This window comes from Homo sapiens, chromosome 17, assembly GCF_000001405.40.
Source record: "Homo sapiens chromosome 17, GRCh38.p14 Primary Assembly".
NCBI classification, from domain to species: domain Eukaryota; kingdom Metazoa; phylum Chordata; class Mammalia; order Primates; family Hominidae; genus Homo; species Homo sapiens.
Window position 1 is genome coordinate 27,452,272 of NC_000017.11, and position 17,687 is coordinate 27,469,958.

The 17,687-nt window shown below is 49.6% G+C and overlaps 1 protein-coding gene across 14 annotated transcripts in view, besides 7 other annotated features; it reads left to right on the top strand.

The window, feature by feature from the left end:
• Positions 3,707-4,466: a silencer, noted in NCBI's record as "silent region_8327". NCBI's record gives its function as "represses an Ori minimal core promoter by ATAC-STARR-seq in GM12878 lymphoblastoid cells {active_cell/tissue: GM12878}" and the evidence as "EXISTENCE:reporter gene assay evidence [ECO:0000049][PMID:35858748]".
• Positions 3,842-4,343: an enhancer, noted in NCBI's record as "H3K27ac hESC enhancer chr17:25783139-25783640 (GRCh37/hg19 assembly coordinates)". NCBI's record gives its function as "activates a minimal SCP1, AML or CMV promoter by ChIP-STARR-seq in primed H9 embryonic stem cells {active_cell/tissue: H9 hESC(primed)}" and the evidence as "EXISTENCE:reporter gene assay evidence [ECO:0000049][PMID:30033119]".
• KSR1 (kinase suppressor of ras 1) overlaps positions 4,177-17,687 on the top strand; it is a 169,988-nt gene continuing 156,477 nt past the window's right edge. For all 14 annotated transcript variants that reach the window (XR_934587.4, XR_007065523.1, XM_047436989.1 and 11 more), the window contains exon 1: positions 4,177-4,603. Coding sequence is in view for 11 of the 14 variants with exons in the window: in XM_047436985.1 (XP_047292941.1) it covers positions 4,373-4,603 (231 nt within the window). In the remaining 3 variants the exon portion in view is untranslated. The remainder of the gene's footprint in view (positions 4,604-17,687) is intronic.
• Positions 4,987-5,036: a silencer, noted in NCBI's record as "silent region_8328". NCBI's record gives its function as "represses an Ori minimal core promoter by ATAC-STARR-seq in GM12878 lymphoblastoid cells {active_cell/tissue: GM12878}" and the evidence as "EXISTENCE:reporter gene assay evidence [ECO:0000049][PMID:35858748]".
• Positions 7,857-8,560: an enhancer, noted in NCBI's record as "H3K27ac-H3K4me1 hESC enhancer chr17:25787154-25787857 (GRCh37/hg19 assembly coordinates)". NCBI's record gives its function as "activates a minimal SCP1, AML or CMV promoter by ChIP-STARR-seq in primed H9 embryonic stem cells {active_cell/tissue: H9 hESC(primed)}" and the evidence as "EXISTENCE:reporter gene assay evidence [ECO:0000049][PMID:30033119]".
• Positions 9,264-9,967: an enhancer, noted in NCBI's record as "H3K27ac-H3K4me1 hESC enhancer chr17:25788561-25789264 (GRCh37/hg19 assembly coordinates)". NCBI's record gives its function as "activates a minimal SCP1, AML or CMV promoter by ChIP-STARR-seq in naive H9 embryonic stem cells {active_cell/tissue: H9 hESC(naive)}" and the evidence as "EXISTENCE:reporter gene assay evidence [ECO:0000049][PMID:30033119]".
• Positions 11,172-11,466: a silencer, noted in NCBI's record as "tiled region #12448; HepG2 Repressive non-DNase unmatched - State 7:EnhWF, and K562 Repressive DNase matched - State 5:Enh". NCBI's record gives its function as "represses a minimal TATA promoter and a strong SV40 promoter by Sharpr-MPRA in HepG2 and K562 cells {active_cell/tissue: HepG2 | K562}" and the evidence as "EXISTENCE:reporter gene assay evidence [ECO:0000049][PMID:27701403]".
• Positions 14,302-14,741: an enhancer, noted in NCBI's record as "active region_11901". NCBI's record gives its function as "activates an Ori minimal core promoter by ATAC-STARR-seq in GM12878 lymphoblastoid cells {active_cell/tissue: GM12878}" and the evidence as "EXISTENCE:reporter gene assay evidence [ECO:0000049][PMID:35858748]".

Below are 17,687 nucleotides of genomic sequence, written 5' to 3' on the forward strand. Positions count from 1 at the left end.
TCTTCTGCGTAGCACTTATGATTCTCAGTTTATTTTGGTAATATATTTGTTGACATTCATTTCCTGTCCTTCCCTTCATGTATGTTCCACAGGGATAAGGACTCGGCTTCCTTCGCTTTGAGCCTACCCCAGAGCCTGGCGCATGCTAAGTGTCCTCTTCATGTTTCTTGGGCCTGTGCATGAAAATGCTCCCACCGCTGCTGTTGGTGTTTGGATGCAGACAAGCTCGGAAAAGCAATGAAGGGACCCGAGACAGAGGAGAGGAAGGAGAGAGTAAGCAAACTTTCTCTACTGAGGTGCCTCAGAAAAAGCCTCAAGAACCTGGAGATGATGCTGAAACCCTGAATCAACACATAATAGATCAATTCATCTAACTAGAAGAGATTCATTCTGGAAGGTGAGGAAGAAAGTAATGCATAGTTCAATGAGTTAAGCATTTGGAACAGTTTCAGTAGACATACAGTAAATATTTATCAAATAAATAAATATGCCGAACCCTTATTTTATGACCATTACTTTGTGTTATATAATCTGTTCATCCTCATAAAACATTATCACCATCTTGCAAATAAGAAGCTGTGCTACCAGATTAGGAGATTTGCCCGAGGTCATATAAGACTCGTCAAAGGTCATACAGCGATTCAGAGACAGAGCTGACTACCCTACTCTCTAAAACAGCTCTATTCGAAGTTGTAAAGGCCATATTCCCTGTCCCCTTCCCTGCAGTGCCATACCACCTGTTACCACTGACACACTGTGCATTTATCTGCTTGTCTGTTTCCTCTCACCACAGCATAAATTCCCTAAGGGTAAGAATCTTCATTTTGTTCACTACCCTTTTCCAGAGCCCAGAACAGGGCCTGCCATGTAAGTGGCACTTCATGAATGCTTACTGAATGTTAAAAGGATGAATGAAGGGATTATTTAAAAATCCTTATTTCGGCCAGGTGCCATGGCTCATGCCTGTAATCCTAGCACTTTTGGGAGAGTGAGGCCAAGAACAGGAGTTTGAGACCAGTCTACATGACACAGCAAGACCCTGTCCCTACAAAAAATTTAAAAATTAGTCAGATGCGGTGGCAGGCACCTGTAGTCCCAGCTACTCAGGAGGCTGAGGCAGGAGGATGGCTTGAGCCCAGGACTTTTGAGGCTGCAGTGAGCTTTCTCGCACCACTGCACTCCAACCTGGGCAACAGAGCAAATCCCTGTCTCTTAAAAACAAAAAACAAAAACAAAAAAGTTTCTCCACCTCTGAGGGGCAGTTCTGTAAACTTGTGGCTGACAGATGACTCAAATCCAGGCAAGAAGGCTGGAGGCCATCTGTGAGGAAGGAAAACTGTGGCCTGCTGAATGCTCTGGATAATCAGAGGGAAGACTGTATCCACAGAGGACAGACTCGCTGCATGGAACCTGGCGGGAGAGTAACCAGGGAGCTGGCATTTGTCCAGTCTCAGGCTCTGACATCACCCCTGTGGTGACATGGGTGGGCATGAATGCCACAAGCTGGCAGTGGCTCTTCTCAGGATGTGGCTTCCCACATAAAGTGGCCCTAGAGGGAGAATGTGATGACCAGGTCCCTGTGGCAATAACAAGTTTGATGTAAGTGCATAAATAGGCACTTACCAGAACATTTCTTGTGAGCCAGGCATGGTAGTTCACGCCTATAATCCCAGCACTTCAGGAGGCTGAAGGGGAAGGATTGCTTGAGCCCGAGAGTTTGAGACCAGCAGCCTGGGCAACGTAGAGAGACTCCATTTCTAAAAAAAAGGAAAAAAAAAAAAAAGTTAACGTTAGCCGGGCATGGTGGCACACTCCTATAGTCCCAGCTACTTGGGAAGCTGGGGTGGGAGGATCGCCTGAGTCTGGGAGGTCGAGGCTGCACTGAGCCATGATCATGCTACTGTACTCCAGCCTGAGTGACAGAGCAAGACCCTGTTTCAAAAAAAAAAAAATCTTTTGTGAATTGTGTTAGAATGAGTGAGTCGTTCAAGCCTGGCAGCTCTGGCTGCTGGACAGAGGCTCTGAACCAGCCAGGTTGGGTTGTGGATAGTCCCTTGAGATAGTTCTCTGCCCACTGACCTTCCTCTGTGCCTAGGCTTCTCAAAGTATAGACTTGCGACTGGGCTCAGACTAACCACATCAGTACCACCTGAGAACCTGATAGAAATGCAGATTCTCCTGCCCTGTCCTCTGATCTACAAAATTAGAAACTATAGAGGTGAGCTCCATGGTTCTGGGAATTAACAAGCCCTCCAAGTGATTCTGATGCATGTTCAAGTTTGAGAACCACAACTAGTTTCCCTTTCATAATAGTTACTACTTTGCAAGGAGTCGGATGGGGTTAAGGTAACAGGTTGAGAAATTCATAATATCGTGCAGGCGGTCTTTTTATAAGTTGAGTGAGGACTGGATCAATGACTCTCAATGGGAAAGGCCAGGGGTTAGGGAGGAACCTCCTTGCATTTGGAAAATCTCGAGGAGGGGTTAATTTGCAAAAACAAGTTTTAAAGTTATAGTTTTGCTTCCTAGACCTGATTTTTAAAAATTTATTATTTTTTTTAGAGACAGGGTCTTGTCACATTGCCCAGGCTGGTCTCGAACTCCTGGCTTTAAGTGATCCTTCCCCCTTGGCCTCTCAAAAGTGCTGGCATTACAGGCATGAGCCACGGTGCCCAGCCCTTAATTTATTTCGAAGGCTGGTGTAATATAAACATTAAAGGAAGGTGTAATACAAACTGCCATCCATTATTGATTGTTTTAGTGTCTACAAGGTTTGGATCCCACCTCCTGTCCAATTCTCATCCTCAAACACAAAAACAAAACCAAAAAAACAACTGTCTATCTACACACACACACACACCCTCGGCTGGCCTGAGAGGTAAAAGAAACATCCCATAGGACCTGCTGAAAGAGCTCCTGAGGCACGCTGGAGCCTTTCTTGTGTGCCATGCACTGTATCTGGCACTATAAAGAGGGTACAATAGCTAGTGGCTTCTGCAATCAAGCAGCTTACAAGAGAAAATTGAGAGGGGAGACATTTTTTCTGGTTGACAGATGTCGAAAGCATGAAGGTGTGGGAGCTTTGATCAGAGACTTGGTTTTTCAGTTTTGCCAGATAATAGAACGCATGGGGTGAACTAATGGGAGAGGAGGGTGAACAGATGGGCAAGGCTTGATTGCTGGGTTAGGAGGCACAGAAATGCACAGAGGACAAAGGACTACCAGTCCTTGGCAGTACTGTACTGCTCCATGGCCACTACCTGGGTCCAGGGCCACATTCAGATCTGAGGTTAGATAGTAAGAATTGCTAACATTTATCCAGCGACCACATGTGCCAGTAATCAATCTAGGTGCTGTACATGTATTAACTGATTCTTCATAGGAACCCTATTAAAGAGTTATTTGATGAGGAGAGTCGGGCATTCACTGGAAATCGAACGTGCCCAAAGTCTCACCCTAGACCGTGGTGGAGTCAGAATTTGAATCCTGGCCACTTGCTCCGAAGCCACCGACAATTCAGTGTGCTGTCCCCCGTGTCTGGGCTGGCTTGGTGGGCTGGGAATGGCGGGGGAATGGGACACTTATTTTGGCAGGTAAATGTGGTTCAGAAGAAAGCTCTTCGTCTTTCTCCAAGCCTGAGCAATCGTTTTGGCGCAGGCAGTCCAGAGTAGAGCGCTTTGTGAGCCAGCTACAGAAGTGCTGTAAGCCCCTTCCCACTAGATGGCAGCCCCTAAACCCACATACAAATCCTGGAACCTCCCTGGTCCCCATCTTCCAGGGCTGGGCTGCAGCTGAGGAACTGCGGGACGCACACCCGCCGGGCGTCCAGGGGGCGCCGCCCCATCCGGGGGTCGCGGGAAGCTCCTAGGCCGGGTGGGGGACGGAGGCGGACGGGGAGACGCTGCTCCCCCGACTCTCGGCGCCTGGGGGAGGAGCTGGCGCGGAGCAGCTCCACCCGGGGCTCCCGGTTGGGGCCGGCCCTCACCGCCTGCCTCGCCGCGGCCGCCGGGAGGGGAGGGGAGAGGAGGGCAGGGAGGGCGGCGCGGGCGCGGTCCGGGGCCCCGAGGGCGGAGGCCGGCGGCAGGTGCGCGGCGTGGACTACAAGTCCCAGCATGCCCGGCCGCCCTGACCCAGCCCCCGCCGCCGCTTAAAGGCTCCGGGAGCCGCAGCCGTCGGGTCGCCGCGGCTTTCGCTTTGCTGCCGCGGCTGGGAGGGTGGAAGCGGCAGACTCAGCGGCCGGCTCTACCGGCGTCCCGGCTCGGGCAGCGCCGAGGGGCGCTCCTGGTCCAGCTCTCCTGGCTCGGGGGTTCCTTGCCGAGGCGCCCGCGCCCCGGGCTCCCAGCCTCGGCCGCCGCGGCCCCGATGCCGAGGCATGGATAGAGCAGCGCTGCGCGCGGCGGCGATGGGAGAGAAGAAGGAGGGCGGTGGCGGGGGGGATGCGGCGGCCGCGGAGGGAGGCGCAGGGGCCGCGGCCAGCCGGGCGCTGCAGCAGTGCGGGCAGCTCCAGAAGCTCATCGACATCTCCATCGGCAGCCTGCGCGGGCTGCGCACCAAGTGCGCTGTGTCCAACGACCTCACCCAGCAGGAGATACGGACCCTGGAGGTAAGTGGGTCGGGGACCAGGCTGGGCTCGAGGAGCGGGCCCGGACACCTCCCTCCGGGCCCCAGTACTCCTGGCCGAGTTGCATCCTTGAGCCCGCGTCGCCCCCCTTGGAGGCTTCCCCTCCCTCCTGCACTCGCTGATGCGGCAGCCGGAGGACCCGGGACCAGCCCTCATCTTGGGCAGGATTTGTGGGGCGGGTGCGTCGTGGGAACTGGGATGGAGGCTCGAGGGGCCCGTGCGGGGTGGGCTGCGCGCGGACATCCCCTTTCCCCCCTTCTCCGCCCCCACCCCATTTCCAGTTTGCGGGGCCGCAGGACTCGTTGTCCCACCGAGTCACAAGCTGGACTTTTCCCCGTGTGACTGAGCCGAGCACCCGTGGGCCAGGGTGACGGAGGAGGTTCCCCTGAAGCGTGATCGCAGGCCTGCCGTCCCCTGTTCCCCTCACGCCCCAGACGCCGTCCTGTCCCTTCCTTTCCTCTCCTCTCAGGTCTTGTCTGCCGCCTTTTCAAAAAGTGTTGCTGAAACTGCATTTTTGTTATTCAGGCGTTTGGTGCTTTCCTTTCACGTTGCCACGGAGGCTCGCTGCTTAAAATGTATTAATAATTACCCGCTGACTCCCCCTGCTTCCCCCCAAAGATTGGATTTAGGCTTAGGAAGGATTATGCTGGGAAGCAAGCCTTTGGTGGGAAGATGAAACTGTTTAAAGGGTTCTGATGGAGACAGTCTGGAGTGTAAAGAAGAAATAAGATATGCGGGCCTTCCTCTCTCAAATTATAGCTGGGGAAGTATCTGAAGGATTTGGAAAAACCAGCCCGAGGGTTGTTGGGGCACCCTGTCCATACACAAATGAGGGCAACTAGTGGATTCTGAATGTGATTTTGGCCAGGGACGGGGCGGTGAAACGTCAGACCAGTTAATAGCTGCCCCGTCTTGAAGAAGGAACCTCTCACCATCTTGCCCTGCCACATCTGGCCTCCTGCAGGTCTGGGGATGTTTTGTTTTATTAGATCCTCAATTTCTCCTCCCCCAAACCCTCCCCCCGCCCCTTATTGCTAATTGCCTCTGCCAGCTGTCATAAGGCCCTCTGTGATCGCGGTAATTATTACAAGACCAATCCTTCCTCCAGGCATGCCACAAAGCCGAATCCTTGTTTGATTCCAAATGCTCGGGGGTGACTCTCCCTCAGTTTTATTTTCTTAAAAGCTATAAAACCACAGGACATTGGAAGAATACAGTCAGTGCTGGGTATTATTATTTTTTATTACAGTTGGCTAAAGCTGTACTGACCAAGGCTTTGCTTAAAAAACAAACAAAACCCCCTACAACTGGCCTTTCTGCATGCATGCTGCAGTTTTCCAAGTATTGAGAGAAACTGATTTTTTGAACACAGCTGAGTGTGTTTGCTCAGCAAAGTTCAGTTTTTAAGCTGACAACAATAGGGGGCCTGTGAGGCTCAGTTCCGGGAGGAGGGGTCGCTGTCTGGCAGAGTGTGCGTGGTTGGACTTCGGTGTTGCTGGGCTTGGAGAATGCTCTCTGTGTTGGCCTCTGTGGGATTGTCCCCACGTTGCTCTGAAGTGCTCCTGGCTTCCAGAGTGTGTATATAGGAGAACCACTTGCTGTGCATTCTCTGGAATGGCCTTTTGTCCTACCCTAACTTCCGGAGTCCCTCATTTTGATGGCAGTGTGGCGTTCATGACACCCCAGAGCATCCAGCTATTTAAGTGTTGGAGCTGGTTTATTCAGTGGCTTCCCTCCTGAGTGTTTGTTTAGACGATCATCCCTGGCAGCAGAGAACCCATCCAAAGGCCCACAGGGGATCTGCAGCTCCCTGTTCTTCCCACCGTGATGTGGATTCGGGTTCACTCCACTTCCTGAAAAGGCAGGGCCTGGGTTGTTTTGGGGGATGGGAATTTAGACCCCTGGAGTGAGTTCCATGGGGCTGCCACCAGCTAGTTTAGATGAGTCACTTCATCCCGGAGGCCTCAGCCTCCTCACCTGCAAAACAAGGAGGCTGGAGTGGATCTCTGAGGGCTCTGGAAGCTCGAAATTCTCTAGGTTAGAGAAGGAGACTTGGTTGGGTGAAATCAAATGTTTGTGATTGTTTTTATACTACCCTGGTTTAAGAATAACCCTCTTTAAGAATGGTTCTAAAATCCAGATTTACTGAACCCATAACATAGGGGTTAAGTTTATTAGAAGAATCTTTGCCATAGGAGCAGCGTGGTGAATAGGAAGCCCCATGGCTTTCATACTGGGCCTGGGTTCTGTCTGTGTGACCTTAGGCAAGTCCCATGACTTCTGAATCTCAAGCTCTCCTGTCTGTAAAATAGGAACGAGACTGCTCACACCTGCAGCATTTTGTCTGTCAGTCCGTGCTGATACTACGAAAAGAGTCTGCCTGGCAGCTGCCCCTAGTGAGGGTCCAGTAGCATTTATGGCACAGGCCACCACTAGGGAAACTTAACCCCTACTGGACCCTTGCTAGGGAAACTTAACCCCCTACTTTATGGGTTCAGTAAATCTGGATTTTAGGGAAAGGTACTTCTGCAGCTGCCTCTCATTTCATACAGGTGGGTGACACAAGCCAGGAAACAATCTCAGCAAGCTGGGTGGGACCGTCCACCGCCAGCAGCATGTGTTGGGGCCAGGCAGGCAAGTGGCAGTGTCCACTCCAGCGTTCTTTCCTGTTCTGTGGGCTCCCCACACACCAGGCCGTGGCCCCAGAGACTGTGCTTGCAACACTGGATTCCTGGCTTTTGAAGAAGGATCTGACCTGGAGGGCTTGGCCTGTGCAACTGCATCGGACTTATCTAGAATCTGAGGAGCCCCAGCTCACTCTGGCCTTCATTAAATAAACACTCAGTGGGAGAAGCAGCACGTGAAATGTCCGTGGAGGTCCCTGACCAGGGATGGGCTGCTGCTGCCTGAAATTGGGTTGTGATGGGGTGTAGTGGGTCAGCGTGTCTGGTTGTCCGGGGATAGCTTTTCTCTGTGTGGTGGTCCAGTTTGGATGGAAAAGGGTAGAAGGAGCTGAGACTTAACGTTTGCTGCCTGTGTGCCTAGCAGCGTGCCTGACTCTTCTCAAACTCACACACGTTCCTGGAGATCAGCAGTTTTCATCATACACATTTTCCCTCTCTAAATATAAAGGGAGGGAGGCACAATTTGAAACCAGGGTATTAATCTGTAAACAGAAGTTGTGAGGCTACTTCATCCTGGCAGGAGCTGGTGTTCTGTCTCCGCTAGACCCTCCTAGGGGTCTGAAAACTCCACCGAGGCAAACGGGAATGTTCTTATGCCCCAGTGTACTCACAGAGGGACACTTGGCCTGCCTAATAGCTGGGCCTGCAACCTATGCCAGTAATAATTACCTTCATTCCTTTGAATCTGCCCAGCGCTGGGGAGACAAGGGTGTGTAGAAGCAGACACATGTTGCCTCATGGAGATTTATGTTCCAGGGACATTGTGACTTGCCCTTTCCTGCCAGCCTACTAGTACTTTCCAGAGACAGGCTCTGCCATGCTGAGTCTCCCCACCTTGTGTTCTTGTGGAGAAAAATCCCTCCTAAGCAAGCTGGCGTGGAGAAAGGGGCTGAAGGACTTTGACCATCAGGCTTTGCTGGGGGAGGTGATGTTGGCAACTGTGGTAGGTGCAGAGTCAGGCTGTGCTGGGAGGCGATGTTGGGAACTGTGGTAGGTACAGTCTCTGCCCTTGGGCTGCTTTCCTGAGCAGTTGCCCTGGAGCCGCAGGGGGTCAGAGGGGAGGCCCTCCTGCCATCTGGAAGGTCAGAGAGGCCTGGCCCTCACACAGCTCTGCCGTGGCAGAGGTCAGAGTCCCACCGTGTGGGGGACCTGAGCTCTCCCTATGCCTCCCAGGAGCATCTGATGATGGAACTGCTGGGAGAGGGGAGGGGTGGCATTCCTGCAGATTGGGTCCTTAGGGTGTGTTGAGGCACGTTCCCTGGACAGACCTTTAGTTACTGTTGATGTGCTTACCTGGCTGGCAGCCACCTAGCAAGGGCTCTGAAGTAGGTGGGCTGTTCTCCCAGTCTTTGGGGTCTAGGGACAGTTCTAGTCTAGTGAAGGAGCCAGGCAGGGCACAGTAATGACTTTAGTAGCACAGCTTGCAGGACCCTGCATTGGGAACCCCACTGAACCCTTGGCCCATCCAACCTCCTGGTTTTTTTGTTTTGTTTTGTTTTTTGTTTTTGTTTTTGTTTTTCTTTTAGTCAGAGTCCCACTCTGTCGCCCAGGCTGGAGTACAGTGGCATGATCTCGGATCACTGCAATCTCAGCCTCCCAGGTTCAAGCAATTCTCCTGCCTTAGCTTCTGAGTAGCTGGGATTACAGGCATGCCCCACTATGTCCAGCTAATTTTCGTGTTTTTAGTAGAGATAGGGTTTTGCCGTGTTGGCCAGGCTGGTCTCGAACTCCTGGCCTCAAGTGATCTACCCACCTTGGCCTCCCAAAGTGCTGGGATTACAAGTGTGAGCCACCTCCTGGTTTTCTGGGAAATATTCCCAGAGTCTTGGGGACTTCTCCCAAGTCACAGGTCCCTGGCAGAACTGAGACTGAAACCTGGTTTTGCTTTCCCACCCAGCCACTGTCTCAAAGTGTGGCGTTTCTCTGCTTCTGCTCTGTGGCCACAGTTGTAACCCTCTGGCCAAGTGGCTCCAGCCGTCTCTGAAGAGATACAGAGCTGGGGCTCTGGCCCTTTTTTGTGTCCACTTTCACCCGGGTAACTTTTTCCCTGGTGAAACCTACCTCCCAAATGTTTCTTAGAGGCAGCCTGGAGGGAGACCCGCAGTGGCTGTGAGCCTGGGGAGGGCTGGGTGGTGCTGGAGAGAGGTCTTATCAGATCTGGAGGTGTGGTTTGCTGCCTGCAGCTATGGGAATGCCTTCTTCCACGTCAGGGTTGTTTCCTCTTCTTGGAGTGGTCTGGGCTGCCTCAAAATCCAGGAAAGTGCGCCGCAGGTATTCTACTCCTGCCCGCTGGGTGTGTCTGGAGATGGACCATGCGGAGACGCTGGCCCACGGTGGCAGTGTCTGCAATGCCGGGGAGAAGCAGCAAAGCCTGTGGCCAAGTCTCTCTAAGCTATGCCTTTTTAAAAGGCCATCCTTTCAGAAGAGGCTGGTTGAGATCTCTTTTTTATGTTTAATTCAAAGGGAAAGCTGCATAGGTGCCTTTGGGGTTAGGGGAATGATCTTGGAGTAGAGAGGGCAGACACAGATGAAGAACGTGCTTGATCACCTGTTCTATGTTGAGCACTCCACTAGGCTCTCGGCATATGTTGCACCTTAACATTCACAATGATGCTATGAGGCCTTATCCTGATGTTGCAGATGAGGGAATTGCAGCTCAGAGGGATGGAGAGACTGTCTTAGCAGGTGGTTGAACCCAGGTTGACTGGTCTTGAGAACTTATGTTCAGAACTCCACAGCTGTTGCTGTGGCGGGGAGATTCTGTGCAGGGCCATGGTTGCTGAGACCAAGGAAATGGCCAATAATAAAAAGGGCTGGGCCGAGGGCATTCCGTGGCTCAACTCTAGATGTTTGGGCTTCCTGGTGGCCACCCAGGCTGTGCAGCCTCAGGGTTCGGGCATGGGTCTGCTTCCCTAATGTCCAGGCTAGCACATCCTCAAAGACAGGACTCTCAGCACCATGATGCAGCCCGCTCTACGCTTGTCTCATTCTGAGAAAGGAGAAGCTGCCTAGAGATCAGTTTACTCATAATTTTTTAAATGGCTACCTGTCTTATTCTTTCTGAACAGTTCCTCTGATAAACAGTGTATTCTTTAACTTTCTACTTTTAATTAAAATATTTACAAAATACATAATGATATATGTTCACTATAAAAAAGAAAGTACTAGATGTACAACAGTGAAAATCACCCATAATGCCACCTCTCAGAGTTAATTCCAGTGCACATTTTGTTGTATATTCTTCCTGCATTTGCATATAAATGTACATGTGTATATTTGTGGCACATACCATGTGCATTGCCTTGTAAATGTCTTCTGTCTGTATCAGCACATATACATATGCATCAGCACTATTAGTGGCTGCATTGTGTGGTCATACCACAAATTCATCTAACCGGTTTCCCTGTGTGGGCCATTCAGGCTGTTTCCAAGTCTTGCTTTTATAAATGGTGCTGCAACGAGTATCTTCCTACAAGTGAGATTTGCTGGGTCAAAGTATATGAATACATTTAATATCTGTCCTCGTCTTTAATATCTTTATGGCATCATAACTCCCCCTCTCCTAAGCAGGAATGGCAGCCTTCATACATTTATCCATTTGCCACTGCATCTGTAATCACACTGACGGCCAAGAGTTTAAAAGGAGGCTGGGCCTGGGTGCGGTGGCTCATGCCTGTAATCCCAGCACCTTGAGAGGCTGAGGCTGGTGGATAGCTTGAGTCTAGGAGTTCGAAACCAGCCTGGGCAACATGGTAAACCCCGTCTCTACAAGAAATAGAAAATTAGCCATGCATGGTGGCACGCTCCTGTAGTTCTAGCTACTCAGGAGGCTGAGGTGGAGGTTGCAGTGACCTGAGATTGCATCATTGCACTCCAGCCTGGATGACAGAGAAAAAAAAAAAAAAAAAGAGGCTGGACATGGTCCTCTGGCTGAGATTCTGGGATAAGTGTCAGGAACTATGGCTTCTAGTTTTGTGGTTGCTTGTGTCTGAGGTTCTGGGCTATGTGTCAGGCATTGTGGCTTCTAGTTTTTGTGGTTACCTGCAGCAAAGGGGGGCCCCCTGGGCTGACCAATTAGAAGAAGGCCTTTTCCTTGCTCCAAGATAGCGGAGGGAGGGGCTGGATTTCAGGTCTCCCTGTCCAGAGACTGATCAGCTTTGGTAGTACATAATCATATGGTGAGGTCTTGATCACTTGAGGCTCATGAAAGTCACTTTAACTGCATTCTTGGTTGCATCCCTAACTACAAATACTGATCACAGTGCTATTTGGGGTGCCTGGCTTTGGGGATGATTTAGTAGAGTTGTGGGTTCCTAGGGCTACAAAGGGTCTTGGAATTTCCATGTGGTCCAGCCCTCTCATCTTGCAGGTGAGGAAACTGAAGGCCTGAGGGAGAACTGACTTGCCAGGAACCCCTGTTAAGCAGAATTAACAAAGGGTGGTTATTAAAGGAGCACTGAGTTGGGAGTCAGACCTGGAGGCCCACACCCTTGATTAAGACATTATACCACCTTGAGTCTGGCCTGTTGACTGAGGGTGAGCCACTCCATCCTCCTCTGATTGTGGGGTGTTGACCTCAAGGGGTTTCCTGCAGGAAGAAGCAAATGGGTTTGCTTTCCTAGCTCTGTCCCAGTGCCTTAGGGGCCCTGAGGACTGGAGAGATTCTTGGAGCGCCATCTGGGGTATGTCACGGGTGGACCTTTTTTGAAGGTCAGTCTGCTCAGTGGGCTGGCTCAGCCCGAATGAACTGTCTTGAATCTTTGGAGTTGTCTGTTTACTTTTAAGGGCTTCTCATCCTTGCACCAAAAGATCCCCTGGAAATTAGGTGGGAAATCCTTAACTTTTATGGGGCCTTGTGTTTGTCTTAAAAGTTCATGCGCATGGCCAGGTGTGGTGGCTCACACCTGTAATCCTATCCTGGATCCCTTGAGTCAAGGAGTTTGAGACCAATGTGAACAACATAGTGAGACCCTGTCTCTACAAAAAATAAAATATTAGCCAGGGGTGGTTGTGCACACCTGTTGTCCCAGCTACTACAGTGGCTGAGGCTGGAGGAGCACTTGAGCCTGCACTGAGCTGTGATCTCACCAGTGTACTCCAGCCTGGGCCACAGAGCAAGAACTTGACTCAAAAAAAAAAAAAACCAGCAAGAAAAATCCTTGCAGATTTTGCATTCTGTGCCACTATCCATTGGTTTTCATGTCAAGATAATGTAAAAATTCTTTACAATTGCTTCCAGAAGGAGTAGCCTTTTAATCTAGTGCACAGGTGTCCAGTCTTTTGGCTTCTCAGGGCCACATTGGAAGAAGAATGCTCCTGGGCCACAGATAAAATACACTAATGCTAACAATAGCTGATGAGCTTAAAAAAAAAAAAAAAGGTTTGTGCATAATTTTCATGATACCCACCACCACAGATAGGCGGAAAAGTCCTTGTAGTCAAAGGGTTGGACACGGCTGATCTAGTGTCTTGTCCGTTTTGGCTTTCTCCCTGATTCCAGAATGCAGGTAGAGATGTAGAGACGTGCTCTCAGGACAGCTGTTGAGATAAAAAAATTTGTTGTCATTTATTCCCAGGCACAGCTGTTTGTCATTTGCATTGAAAAAGTCTCCATTCAAACTGCTGTCACATATAAAATCTATTTATGTAAGTCTGTATTTTTCTGTTGTCTTGGCCTTGGTGGGCAGTAGTGTGTTTTAACTGAGCAAACTGTCTTTCCAAATAATGAAGCTGAAGTCAGCCTACCTGCTTGCCATTTTTCTTCCCCTTCCATTTTTCTAATCTCCGGATAATTGTAAGAATGAATTAAGATTTGTGTTTAAGGCCGGGCACAGTGTCTTAGGCCTATAATCCCAGCACTTTGGGAGGCAGAGACGGACGTATCGCTTGAGCTCAGGAGTTCCAGACCAGCCTGGGCGACATACTGAGACTCTGTCTTGTATAATTAAATTAAAATTTAAAAAAAGAAGAGATAAAGACCCGTGTTTAAAATTTTTAAAAAAGGGGGGAAAGTGTAATGCAAAATGTGGACTATGCCAGCTATGATTGGGAAAAATAATTTTTCATACAGCATTATCTATAGATTTGTATTAGCAGCATACTGGTCATAAGCGTTTTGCTTTCCGCAAATATGATGTGGTAAGCTACTTTAAAGTGTGGTGGGGCTTTCTTCCGCATGGCTCCTTGAGGGGTTGAGTCCCAATTTATCCAATTAATTTGGGTTTAGTTTTGATATGGATAAGGGAGACCAGCTTCATTCATGGTGCACACACAGTTTTGCCAATAAGGAAAAAAAAAAGCCACCTGAATGTTCCTACTCATTAGGAGCTATCTGGAGAGCTCCTACCCCACTCCCACCAAGGCCTGGGCCCTTAAAAAGGCTCAGTGCAGCCTTTCTGTATCTCACTGTATTCTGCAAGATGCTCCTGTGAAGAAAGTTGTGCTGCATCAGCCATCTCCCTCCTGAAGATCCCTGCGGATGAGGATTTGTGTTTTAAAGGTTCTGAGAAGTACTGCAACAACAGTTCTCAAACTTATTTGTCCAGGGGATCTTTTCTTCCACTGAACGTAGTTGGGGAGACATGGCCTTAAGCCTTGAGCAGAGAAAGAGACAAGAAACTGTTGGCTCACTTACAACCAAGTGTTGTGTTTAAGTTTTAGGTTTTTATGAAACTGAGGTGCTGTTTGAGTTTCCAAATAAAATTGGGTGGTTGAAGAGAGGCTGGTATCCCTGTAGACTTATCCAGCCATGAGAAATTGCCTTTTTTACAAAGGGAAATAGGGTGTCTCCTGGGCATCACATTAGCACTTAAATACATGTATCACTGAATCCTTCTAACAAGAAGAGGAAACTTGCCGAGAGAGGTGTGCCCGCCTGCCTGCCTGCCTGCCTGGAGTTTGCACTTCCTGCCTCCTCCTGGCCCTGGGTGCATTTAGTTGGTGTTAAGGGCATGGTCTGCTCAGTGTCTACCAGGAACCTCATGATCCCCCTGATGGGCAGAAAACAATCCAAGAGAAATGCAGATGGCTGTGGGTGCATTTGAGCTTGGGCTGCAGGGGGTTTGGGGGAGAGGGCTGGGCTACAGATGAAGAATGCTTTTCAAAATAAAAAAGGAAATGCTGGCTCTGAATGGAAAGGAAAGGAAGCAGCTTCCTGTTTCTCGTGGTGGCTTTTTGAAAGGAGGAGCTCTTTCTGGCCTCTTGGCCAACGGAGGCCTGGGCCGGCTGGGGCCACTCTAGGTGCGCTGGAGTCGAGGCTCCCACACTGCTGCCTGAGGTTTCAGAAAGAGCGCTGGTTCCACCCCGTTTCATTTTCCCCGGTCGCTGAGTCAAATGGATGCATGTGGTTTCCAAAACGAATATCTGTACCTGTTACAAAATGGATGTGTCATAATGGGTGACATTTACTTTTACGGCAAGCTTGCTTTGTGCCTGGCCCCCTTGTTAAGCTTTATGTAGCATTTACTTTTCACAACACCCTTGTGAGGAAGGTCTTCTCGCTGTCCCCATTTTACAGATGAAGAAACTGAGGCACAGAGGGGTTAAGTGACTTTCCCAGAGTCACATAGCTAAGGAGAGACTGAGCTGTGACTTGAACCCAGGCAGTCTTAATTCCTTGCCTTTATGACCCAGCTTGGATTTGCAAACTCCTCTCTCCGTCCAGCTGGAAAATCTGTTAGCATAGGATAATTTTGAAGACTCTGGTTGCCTTTGTCTAGGCTCTGGGGGGTAGCCCCAAACCCTGGGCCAGGCCATAGTGATTCCTTGGTGTGTAGCGGGCAAGGGAGAAACTTACTTTTTGCCCTCTGAAGGTTTACTGAAAAATTAACTCACAACATATAGATGACTAAGAGAAATGGCATATAAATTGATTCTCCCTGGTGTATCACAGAATCACAGAGCGATTACTTAATATCCCAGTGGGACCCAAATATTTCTTTGAATGTTCCTAAGAGATAGACATTATCTTGTGAATGGGTCTCTTAGGGTGTGGTTGCGTTTTTGGTCTTTTTTCCTGCAATAGATAATGAGATAACAGTGAGGGGAAGAAAAAACAATCCTTGGTCCGTGGTGGGTCCATCTGGTCATTTTATAGACAGGGGAAATGTCTCTTTCAGTGTCTGTTAATCTCTAAGGGCCTTTAGTTTAAAATGCTCATTATATCAGAGAGCTATGTTTTGAGGTCAAGTTCCCTGTGCTCCATCAGGTGAAATGCCTAGGTCTGAGTTTATGTTTTGTTTTTTTTTTTTTTTGAGACGGAGTCTCGCTCTGTCCCCCAGGCTGTAGTTCCGTGGCGCAATCGTGGCTCACTGCAAGCTCTGCCTCCTGGGTTCCATTCCATTCTCCTGCCACAGCCTCCCGAGTAGCTGGGACTACAGGTGCCTGCCATTATGCCCGGCTAATTTTTCGTTTTCGTATTTTTAGTAGAGACGGGGTTTCACCGTGTTAGCCAGGATGGTCTCGATCTCCTGACCTCGTGATCCGCCCGCCTCGGCCTCCCAAAGTGCTGGGATTACAGGCGTGAGCCACTGCGCCCGGCCATATTTTTTTTTTTTAACTTTATCATGGAAAGGTTTAAACTTGTACAAAAGTAGAGAGAATGTTGTGACCACCTCTGTGTAGTGATTACCCAGCTTCAGCAATAACCAGCTGTGGCCAATTATTTTTTTTTTTTTCTGAGATGGAGCCTGGCTGTGTTGCCCAGGCTGGAGTGCAGTGATGAGATCTCAGCTCACTGCAACCTCTGCCTCCCGGGCTCAAACAATTCTCCTGCCTCTGCCTCCCAAGTAGCTGGGATTACAGGCACACACCACCATGCCTGGCTAATTTTCTTATTTTTAGTAGAGACAGGGTTTCACCATGTTGGCCAGGCCAGCTTGTGAGCTCAAGCAATTTACCCACTTTGGCCTCCCAAAGTGCTGGGATTACAGGCGTGAGCCACCGTGCCTGGCCTGTGGCCAATCTTGAGTGATCTAGGGTATTTATGCTCTGTTTTGGCGATGGTGGCCCTGGGCAGTTCGTCTCTAGGAAGCAGAGTGACCCAGGGCGGTCTTCTCCAGCCATCCGCTTCCAGGCTGAGCTGTACCTATCTCAGCAGGCTGGGAGGAATCTCTGTGTTTTCCTATGAAAAGGCAGTTTTGATTATTTTCTCCTAAGCTTGCTCTGGCTTCTGGCAGCAGGTACATTGCAGAGTGTCCATCTCACTATCTAACCTGAGTCCCCCGCCGCACCTGAAACCTGTTCTCAGACGGCTGGGTGCTTTCCCTGTCCCACAGCAGTCCTGCCAGAGACTGAGATGAGAGTTTTTAACGAAGCAGGGCCCCCAGACCCAGCGGAATCCCACTGTGCACATCCTGATTTCCAGTCCATTCTTGCCCATGCCTCTAGTGTCTCTTCCCTTCCTTTTCCTTGTTGCTTGTTCCCATTATGAGATAAGTGTATTTCAGCTAACATTGATTAAGCTTCACTGTGTGTGGGCCCTGGAGAGAAGAGCTGCTGAGTACAGGAAGGTGCTATTCTCTGGGAGCCCCGGGCAAACCCTCATTTCTGCGGTTCCAGCCTGGAACCCGGATCCAGCACCTGTAAAAGTCTTCCTTGCCCTTCCCGGCTCTTCTCTCGAGGCTCTGCACAGTCCTTCCTGAAGCCTAGCTTTGTTGACCACTTTCTCATTTCTTTTCTCCGTGGTCTTTTGATCCCAACAGGTAGTTTTCTTTTGGTTGTTTGTGCTTTATTTTGGCTTTTGCTGTATTCTCTTGCAAGCATTTCTCAGGTGCCGAGTCACTTTTTGCTGGCTGTTTCAGTCTCTGAGTTTGGCCTCCACAACACAATCGTGATGTCACTATGGGAAAGAGCCCCTCAAGCACTTGGTAGGACATTGAGGCGTGCATTGAGGGCGCCAGGATGTGCGGGGACTCTGGGGTGAGGATGACATATTCGTATTCTGACTCCATTCCTTGCCAGCTCTGTGACCTTGGGCAAGTTCTTTAGCTCTCTGGACCTCAGTTTTCTTGTTAGTTAAAAGGGGATAAGAGTAGGTTAATTTTGGATTCTTTTGAGAACCAAGATACAGAAGGAGTGCTGGACAGTGCCTGGTACTTAGAAGGAGTTCAGTGTTTCCCCCACTGTCCCCCGCCTTTCACGTAGCATTACTCCAAAACACTTTTCCATGTTTCCCTATTATCTTCCTTTTGGTCATTTTAGTTGCCACATGAGAGTGTGTCTAGTGGATCTGCTGTAATTTGGCAAAGCATTTTCCGTGTTATTGGACATTTCAGTAGTTTCTAGATTTCTGCAATTATAAACAATGTGAATGGAATCGTCTTTATATAGGCGCTTTATTTTTGTTCCTATTCTGAATTTGTTTTCTTGGGATAATTCCCAGG